This window comes from Homo sapiens, chromosome 12, assembly GCF_000001405.40.
Source record: "Homo sapiens chromosome 12, GRCh38.p14 Primary Assembly".
Lineage (NCBI taxonomy): Eukaryota > Metazoa > Chordata > Mammalia > Primates > Hominidae > Homo > Homo sapiens.
This window is the reverse complement of record NC_000012.12, coordinates 28,134,661-28,145,030: the sequence shown is the minus strand read 5'-3', so window position 1 is coordinate 28,145,030 and position 10,370 is coordinate 28,134,661. Positions and strand designations below refer to the sequence as shown.

The 10,370-nt window shown below is 36.7% G+C and overlaps 2 annotated features.

The window, feature by feature from the left end:
* Positions 8,677-8,846: an enhancer, noted in NCBI's record as "experimental_27297 CRE fragment used in MPRA reporter constructs". NCBI's record gives its function as "activates a minimal promoter by MPRAs in K562 erythroleukemia cells, with activity observed for both the introgressed and non-introgressed 12:28289203 or rs11049363 variant alleles {active_cell/tissue: K562}" and the evidence as "EXISTENCE:reporter gene assay evidence [ECO:0000049][PMID:34662402]".
* Position 8,761: a transcriptional cis regulatory region, noted in NCBI's record as "Neanderthal adaptively introgressed variant 12:28289203 (GRCh37/hg19 assembly coordinates) or rs11049363 in the experimental_27297 CRE". NCBI's record gives its function as "modulates activity of the experimental_27297 enhancer by MPRAs in K562 erythroleukemia cells {active_cell/tissue: K562}" and the evidence as "EXISTENCE:reporter gene assay evidence [ECO:0000049][PMID:34662402]".

The window sequence follows — 10,370 nt, the reverse complement described above, 5'->3', positions numbered from 1 at the left end:
AATGTTGCTCGACAGGCTGGTGCATTTGCCTGAAAGGTTTTCCCCTCTTGTGCACCTGGCAAATTCCTGCTCAGTCTTTGAAGATTCCATAAACATCACCCCTTATGTGCATCTTCTTATGATCATTCTCGTAAATGAGCATGGAGGTGCAATGTCTCCATTAGCATTTTTCTCATTATGTGGTAGTTTATAACATGAGGGGGACTCAATCAATCCTAGAGGCCTGTAAGGCTAGCAAACATGTCTCATTCATCTTCACTTCAGTGGTTTAATTATACTTAGTGCATAATATGTGCTCAATGCATGTTGGTTGAATGAATAACAAATGAATAGAGAAAATGACTAGAGACAGAGAATAGCTGAATGAAGGAAGGTGTTTGGTACTTCTTTCCCGTGCCATTTGGATTGCATATAATATTATGAAAACATTTTCTTAAATCTCTTAAAAACTAAGTTTCAGAGAAACACAGAACTGCATGACAAAGCAACAGCTCAAAAACCAAACACCTTCATAATGAAAGAAATGGTTACTTAACTCAAGACAAGTATCTGAACTAATTTAAAAGAGAAACGTTTGCCTGTTCTTACTAACTGATGAAATAAGAGCAATTAGGTCTGGCTTTTTCATTGTTAAGTCTTCCATTAGAAATATTTGGAAAATAGTAACCAATCTTAACAGCCTGTGGGGTCAATCCTGCCCAGTGAACAAAACATGGACGTGTGCGTCACCATGTACCTTGCAAAATCCTCTAGCAGGCCTGCATCTACATGCACGTCGCTGACTTTATAAGATCCTGTACGTGACAATACACACATCAGCAGTAAGTCTAGACTACGAGGTCATATTCAGAAACTTATGACTTCAACAGGGGTGGAGATTGTGGGGGAACAGAGCCTAGATCGGGTGAACTTCTAAACAGAAAAGGCATTTGTGTGCTCGTGCAAAAAAGGAACAAGGAAAGAAACATATTAACAAAAGAATACTTGTCATAATTCTGGGAACTATCGGAGCAAAGAATTATGAATTTAAGCAATCCAATACCTAGTTAATTGTAATGACTGATATAACTTTTCAGGAAGAAGATTTCTACTAATTCTTGGATAAGAATGGGGTGAAGAATAGCAATCAAAAGTGCAGATTAAGATCAGTTTGCAAAAGAAATTTCCATCTAATTTAAGAAAATTCTGTCTTTGGACAATATGTGATGTCAGATTGTAAAAACAGTGACAAGCCAGAATATTTCTTTGAATAGGAAGCTGAAATAAAAGAACGTCCATAAGCCACAGGCCTGGCCAGAATCTATCTTTCTTAAACATATTTTAAACTGTTGTCTCATTCCTCACTTGCCATACTCTAGTTTTAACCCCAATCCTTTTCCCTTTTTGTCCACAGCAATTGTTCATCTCTTTTCTAATAATTTTTCTCTTTTTATTTGGGGAGAGGGGTGACTTTACCTATTCCAGAAACCAGAAGAACCAGGCACAGGCACAGCCAAATTCTGTTAAACCACAAGTCTCACTTGAACACCAAATGCATAGAAAACAACAAAAAAAATTGAGTAACATTAACTTTTGTGTTATTTTTGAATCTTCTTAGCAAAGCTATAAAAAATTATTCCACTAATATTTCCACTTAAATCCTTAAATTACCAATTTTGAGCAGAAATAATAAGTGGTAGGCTATCATTACTTTGTATTCCATTAATTTGGAATTTATAATGGAAAAAAAAAGCCTTGCCATTTTGGTTAGACCCAGATTCATTCAACTCGGGTCTCTTGTCTCTGGCAAGAAAAATAAAAGATGTTTTACAGGGAAATGTGTGGTTGAATTTCCTAATGTCCAACTAAAATATTTAGAATCATACTCCTGAATTCTTCATTTTCTCTTAATAATCTAGTATTAATTTTATTATGCAAGAATTCTTTCTTTAACCCATTTATATATGCTGTCTCCATTCTCTTCTGGGGGTAATGTGAGATTTCTGTCTATCATATAAAGAAATACATTTTTTTTCTAAATTTCTGCTTAATATTTTTTATGGATATGCACCCATTTTTTATGACTGTCAGTATACTTCATGATTTTAGAAACTTAGGTTTTTTGACACCTTGCTGTTATTTTCCAGCTGTTGATTCTTAACTTTTACTCCTTCTCCAGATTATTTATGCCACGCACTTGATTATCTAGCTTCTTGGGTCGAAGCATGTAATTATGGTTTAGTACGAAATATATCCATTGTTAGGGACTTTTTTTTAGCTTGTTTTGATTGTGGTTGTCTATAGGTTGCTGTTACCTGACTTCTCCAATAGCAGTTTTCAAGGATATCAAGTTTCTTGTTTATTTGATTATTAAAAGTGAAAATTAGGGCTTTCATTAATAAAAAATCCAACAAATAAAAAATCAAAAAATAAAATCCTAAATATTTTTCCTGCAAAGATAATTACAATTAACATGTTTCTGGACATTTTTTCTGTGCTCATATTTATATATTATTTTTGGAAAAAGGAAAAAAAATACAGCCATGATTCTCAACCTGAGAAGAATCTGGGAAGAAAAAGGATGGGGGTGGTGATTCCGAGCCACCTGGGATTCTTTCTCAAAGTACACATGGTTTCCTACCTTACTCTAATGTGACTTCCGCAAAAGCAAGTCAAATTTTTGAAGGAGGGGATAGACGGGTGAATGATATATCCTCTCTTGACACCCTTTTCACCTTTCCATTCAAGAATCACTGCAATGATGCCATTTTGTGATCTGTTACCTCTGAGTGCACATGTTTGTTCTTAAACAGGATTCCTAGTAATGGAATGGGCAAAGGGAAATGCATCTAAAAATATCTGGAATCTGTTGTCAGGTTACTGTCTGAAAAAAAGACTATCAATTTGTCTCCACCGATTAGCACGTTCATTTTCTCACTGCATCAATGCTCAATATTTTCACCTTTACAAATCTAATCTGTGAAGAATGTCAAGTTTCCATTTCTTTGATTAGTTACAAGAGAAGAATAGCCATTCATACATTTCTTGGTCATTTCTTGGTCTCTTCTTTGGTGAATTGCTTGTTTAGGGTCTTTGCTCATGTTTCTATTGGGGTATCTTCTTATTATTATTAATTTGTAAATGCTTCTCATATCTTAGATATATTAATGATTGCCATATATTAGATAAATATGAAACTTATGTGCAGTTTGCCACTAGTCTATATAGGTTTTCTTTTGATTGTAGAAATGTATAATGCTTATCCATTTATTTACTTACCCTTTTCTTTATGATTGTTAGCTTCTCTGACTCAAAATTATAAAACAATTTACCTCCATTAATATTATTGCTTCTTAGATACATTAAAATTTTTAATCCTGCTGGAACTTGTTTAAATACTCTTACTTCCTTTTTAAGCAAACATTATTCTGCAGTATTTTGACCTTAGTTTCTGAATATTCAACAAAGTATAAACAGGCATTATTGCATTTACTATTCTTGTTTAATGCTATTTAAAAAATAGAATTTTACTTTATTCTTTCTCGCACATTTTTTTTCCTGTTTGTTTTGTTGTCAATCGTAAGCAAGGTCTATTAATTCTACACACACAATATATCTTTTAAGAATTTTTTTCTTAAAAAAATTTATTTTATTTTAGAATAAAAATAAAATAAATAAAAATTTAAAAATTCCATTTTCATATGATCCACACAATTGCAGACCTCTCTGTATATTTCAAAGGTGATTTAAAATACAGCATAATTTACATACTGCTTTTCTATAGTGTCTGACACATTGCAGACTCTTGATAAGGATTTTTGAAATAGATAGACTGACACACCAAAGCAAGTACTTATATTATAGCAAATAGAGAGCACTTTAATAATACAAATAATGTGATGTTTTTTATTCATGTTCAGCATGGGTTTGCTAATCATTCATTTATTCACATTTTCATAATATAAAGTAAACATATTATTTAACACCCTGGGCTTTCCTGTCTTTCCCATAGAGTCTAGCCACTTTTACGAACCACTTAACAAGATGATTGGAAGATTAATATGATACAGATTCTCAAACTACTTTGAAAGAAAATGACGTTTTGCATGAAAAATGCTGTCATAGAAACAAAGAGCAGTGGCCATGGATGGTCTATTGCTGTTAGGAAAACAAGTGACAGCATGATAGAACATCAGCATGTTTTCTGCTGGTCAACAGAGGTTTGTGATTTTGATTTTGAAATAAAAATGAATTCCCCACACAAAAATTCATGAAGACAGGTATCACCCATCCTGCCAGACCACAGTGAGGAGGAGATTGATTGCAGGTTAGGTGTTTCCTGTGGGATCAGCTGTATCTATGATTATAAGTGGTGAGTATTCATTTCTCAGAGTTGATGTGTGTTGATGACACTGTCTGCACACTGCGGCTTGCCTCCAAGGCCTTCCACGTTACAGCCAAGCCATGATAGGAAGAGCTGCATTATGTAATGATGACCTACCTCATCTCCTTCTTACATAATACTTCACACTCTCATGGTGCTTTGTATTCATGTAGCAATTATTCCTCACAGAGTTTGAAAGAAGTAAGTTTCATTACTATATACATGTGAGTAATAGCAATATGTGCCATATAAATGTTTCACTAGAAAGCTAATTTGCAGAAGTCTGACTTGCCAAAGTTAATGTGCCACAACCATCATCCCAATGGCAAAATCAGAACTCGACTTTATCCACAAATATTTCTTTAGAAGCTGCTATGTGTCCACAGCTATGGTGAATGCAAGAACAACTTGCTTTTTCTTAAGAAGTCCATAGGGCTGGGCATGATGGCTCATGCCTGTAATCCCAGCACTTTGGGAGGCCAAGGCTGGCAGATCACCTGAGGTCAGGAGTTCGAGACCAGCTTGGCCAACATGGTGAAACCTCATCTCTACTAAAAATACAAAAATTAGCTCGGTGTGATGGTGTGCACCTGTAATCCCAGCTATTCGGGAGGCTGAGGCAGGAGTATCGCTTGAACCTGAGAGACGTAGGTAGCAGTGAGTCGAGATCACACCACTGCACTCCACCCAGGGTGAGAGTGAGACTCCGTCTCAAAAAAAAAAAGTTCATAGTTTGCAGAAGTCTTGAAACTCAAAAATACATGTAATTTTACAACCCATTATACCTCAAGCATTGCAGCTATCTGCCATAGGCTGAATGTGTGTGTCCCCCCAAAATTTGTATGTTGAAAACCTAATCACCAATATGACTGCATTAGGAGGTGTGGCCTTTGAGGGTGGTCACATCATGACTTCAGAGCCCTCATGAATGGGATTATAAGGGGCCCTGTAGAGTTGCATTTCTTTTTCTACCATGTGAGGACACAGTGAGAAGGCATTATATGTGAGCCAGGAAATGGGCCCTCACCAGATACCTAATCTGCTAGAGACTTGATCTTGGACTTTCCAGCCTTCTCAGAACTGTGGGGAAAAAATTATGTTGTTTATAAGCTACCCAGTATATGCTATTTTGTTATAGCAGCCTGAACAGACTAAGATACTACCTCCATGTGTAATTCAATACACCTAAGGAACAGAATGTTTAGAGCCAAACTCAGGCACCTAAGCTCGCTCACATCCCCAAATGATGGAGGATCTTAAGATTCCTGGGTTCCCTCTTGAGGGAAGGGTTGGTGCTATTTCTCAGTGGTCATGCTATTGAATTTTGGGATGGTATAATTCTTCCTATCATGGCTTGGCACAAAGAGAAGGGGATTCAGTCAGAATGAAAACTATAGTCTTCACACCTTTCCAAATGCCCCCTTGGAGGTGGCTCCCACCCCACGCAAGAACCACTGGACTGTGGGATGCTCTAGAAATATATTCTCTTTATTTTATCTGTGAAGATCCACAGGGAGTCACAGAAAGGAAAATCCCATTTTATTTAGAATGGTTGTAGTTATCCATGTTCTGGCTTTCAAAGTAGATCCTTCCATTCTTAAGATCCACTGTTTAAAAGATTAATTAAAATAAGCAGATTAGGATTTCTGGTCAGATATGGTGGATTGAACTCTTGCATTTATCTACATGCCCTACCAAGCCTCACAAAAATTACAGTTAAAGCATAAAAGCTTGTAAGGACAAAAAATGCAGGATAGGAGACAATATTGGATTGTATTGACAGCAGTTTTATAGATAAATCAGATAGAGAATTTGAGTATACACTAATAATAAGTACATAGAAAACAAAGAAGTCAAAATAGAACACATGTATGTGTGTTATGAATTGAATGTTTGTGTCCCCCTAAAATTAATTTGTTGAAATCTTAATGCCCAATGTGATGGTATTATGAGGTAGTGCCTTTGAGGAGTAATTAGGTTCTGAGGACAGAGCCCTCATGATGGGACGGTGCCCTTACAGAAAGGACCCCAGAGAGCATTCTCACCCTCTCTCTGCAATGTGAGGATACAATGTAGAGAAAGTGAGGATCGAATGAGAAGATGGCAGTCCGCAACCCAGAAGATGACCCTCACAAGACACTAAATTTTCCAGCTCCCTGATCTTGGACTTCCAGCCTCCAGAATTGTAAGGAATAAATGTTCATTGTTTATGAGCCCCCAGTCTAAGGCATTCTGTTAGAGTAGCCCAAATGCACTAAGACAATGTGTTACCACTAAGGAAAACCAAAAAAGTAAGCAAGAAAAAAAATGTAATCATAGCTCTTCATATGGTTTCGTAGTTAACAAAATAGAAAAATATAGACATTGAACATAATGTAAATCTTCTAGAATGAGGAAGGAATGTGTGTGTGTGTGTGTGTGTGTGTGTGTGTGTGTGTGTGTGTGTAAAAGAAATAGCAGCATTCTTATCTCCTATACTCAGAAGTCAAGGATAAATTCTAATATTGAAATACAAGGAAAGAAAGAAAACATGTCACTATTTGATTTAGAATGTCAGAAGAAATCAAGAGTTGAAAGATTGACTTTAGGGAGCAGGATTTGGGTGGAGAGAAGATAATCTAGGTAGCTGCTGTTTTTTATTATCATTCCCATTACACTATTTCACTTCTTAGATTATGTTCCTACTGTACTTTGATTTAATAGGAATAGAAGAAGTGGGGTGAAGAAGGACAAGGTGAAATCCAAACTTTTTCTGTGAAGTTATTTTGCAGATATTCTTTCACTATTCTTCCCTGTAATAGAAGTAGACAAAGTTTCTAGGGGTTAATTCCTTTGTCTCAAAATTAATAGTGCATTGGTAGTATTATTACTATAATTATTATCAGTCAACTAACATTATTTGAGCACTTACTACATGCCACAATTATTTAATTCTCAAAAAATCCAATAAATTAAGCAGTATTATTACCCCTACTGTACATATGAGGAAACTAAAGCTCAAGTGGCTTGCATAATTTGCCCCAGGTAGCATGGCAAGTTAAAAAAAAATTCAGTAAACAAACACAGTTCAAAAGAGCAACACATTTATCAGCTTACATCACAGAAGTCCCTTATTTTGACCTGTGAATTGTTCATCCTTTAAAAACTCCAGGAAACTTAGGGGAAATGTGATTTAGAAATTCATAGCACCTTTAATCTAAGCCCAATCAGACATCCAGAAGCTTCCCACAGACAGCCCTGCCAATGTACCTCAGTACTGACCTGCAGCACCTTTGGTTTTGGTCTCTTCTGAACTGAGTATGCCAAGAACACTAAATTATATAAAATGATGTCAGTGCTTTCATAATATAAATATTGCACTGAGGCTTTGGGACTACATCAGTAAAACCGAATTTTATAAGGGCTTTGATGAAAAGTCAAATTATGCAATTATCACTTCTGTCATGTCTAATGAAGATACACATCTAAAAGTTTAAAGAAGTAATAGAGATAGAAGAATGAAAGAAGAAAGTGACTTATCCAATTTGCTTTTTCAGTCTTCACCTTTCTCTAGCCAGTGTTCAAAAGCTCTATGCACATTTCCTTAAAAGGAACTTCTCCAAGCAGAATAACAAAGTAGAAAAAGGTTTTTTCAGTTCCTTTCCATTCTACTTTTTGGATGCCTTCAATTTTTATGACTCTCTTTTCCAGTGTTTCTTCCTAGATTGCTCTAGGGTGATGGGAGCTAATCTTGACAACCCTAAGACTGGCTTCAAAGGCTTCCCTGGGCTTTCTTTGGGACTCTAAGGGACAACAATGTCCTTTTTCTCCATAATGACAATGACATACCTTCCTTCAAAGAATTGACTCATTTGACAATTTGAATAGCGAATGGAATGAGTAGTACAGAACAGAAACAGAAAGCTTGAGGGAAGCATTTTATCATTAAAAACTAAGAGCTCATTTCTAATTTAGATGACTGAATGGATTTGGGACTGTTAAATTGTGATGGCAAACACTGAGAAAGGAGCAGGCTTTTATAAGAAAGATGATGAATTCAATTGTGATGAAGTCGAGTTTGAGGTTCCTGCAGGACATCCAAATGGAGATATCCATAGGCCTGTGTCCTGTTCAGGCCACTTTGCTAGCAGAATCCAGGAGATGCCATTGAATCCAAACTAGGGGTACAGTGCTGAGAATGGTTTCGGTCTTATTTAGGGTGTGGTACCATAGTCTGGACCAAAAAGAATGTTTTTCCAGACATCAAGGGATTGACAGAAATAGCTAAAATTCTCTGTTTTAGTTTCACTGCCTCCTCCTACCCTTCAGAGCTGTCCCTTCTAATTATCCTCATCTGTTTCTGCTTTAATTGCTTTTCTGGCTCACTGTTTACCCTAGGCTGGGGCTTGCAGATACCGCGCCACCACTCCCCTCTTCTGTGCCTGCAGAAGACATTGCTGATAGGACAAAGCCCTTTCCCATTGGGTCCTGGTGACCAATATGGCTGCTCTACCTAGGGTTCCCAGCAGCAACCCCCAAGCAGAGCTGGCACAAGAGAAGACACCCATTTCTCCCCATTGTCCTTGCCCAGGCCTAGGCTCTCCAGTCTGGATCCAATTATCTGTGTTTTCTTTGATATCTTTTTTCCTCTTATTTTCTAAACATTCCTACACAGTTTTTCACATTTCTGCCCCTCCTTGGTTACCAGTCATTATCTGGAGCTTCCAGCTTCCACACCAAGACCACAAATTTAACAGATTGAAATTATGGAGGTGAAGCAGAAAAGTCATGGACTGTGAATTCAGACAGATGTGGGTTCAAATCCCTGCTCTTTTATGTTACCTGACCCTCCTGGACCTCTGTTTCTACAGCTGTTGAAGGGTGAAAATAACATCAACCTTGCAAGATTGTTTAGAACCTAGCTAATTTACATAAATCTTCATACATGTACTTGATCAGTAAATATTTAGTTTTGTTACTGAGACCATTCTCAACTTCATGCATTTCCTTTCAAAAACCTTAAGTTCTCTGAGCACTGACTGTATGTTTTACTTATCTTTGTGTCTCTCACAATGCCTACCACAGTGTAGGTCCTCAATATGCCCTTAATATATTCTTCCTGAATAAATGGATAAATTACTTGATGATTTGGGGGGAGTAGAGATCCTTTATTTTTATTTTAAACAAATCAGAGTATATCACAGCAAGAACGCAAGTGATTATCTTCAACATAATCAGAGCTAGCGTTTACTGCATGCTCACTATATGCTAGATCCTGTTGTGAGTACTGCACATGAATTAACTCATTCAATCCACCCTCACAAGAGCCCTATGAAGAGGGTACTATGATCATCACCACTTAACAGATAAAATATTTGAAGTAGGGGAAAGACTATTTGTTCAAGGTCACCCAGCTAGTAAGCAGTGGAACAGGAATTCAAGATCAGATGATTTTTCTTCAAGAGGTTCTTAACTCCTGTGCTATACATACATGAAACATGAAAACAAAAATGCTGCTTCTGGCTGACCTTTTCAGGTTCTGTCCCCATTCCTTGGTATTCCCTCTCAGCTGTGGTTAGGACGACTTTGGTGAAAAAGTTGGAGAAGCTGTCCCTAAAGAAATCTTAGCACAAACATCCAAGCTCAAGCAACTTCCTTTTAGCAAATGCCCAAATTCTAACATTCAAAATAGATTCAGAAAATTTCCTCAAAACAAAACCAAAAATCTTTCAAAAAACTTTCAAATAAGAAAGCCACATGAGTTTGTAGACAGAATATCATGTTCCTTGTTCCCAAGGTCTAGCTGAAAAGTTGTTTACAAGTGTAAATTGATGACTTGCCCATGTCATTATCCATTTGCAGATTTGATTTATCCATCTTCATCTGAAAATATATCCACCTCATATGTGATTTTTGCATGCTGATGAGTGCACCTGGAATTGTGACATAGGAGATTGAGTAGGTAGGGGCTAAAGTGGGTGGCAAAGTGGGGATGTGCAAAGAGATAAAAAGAAAATGTGCTTTAACA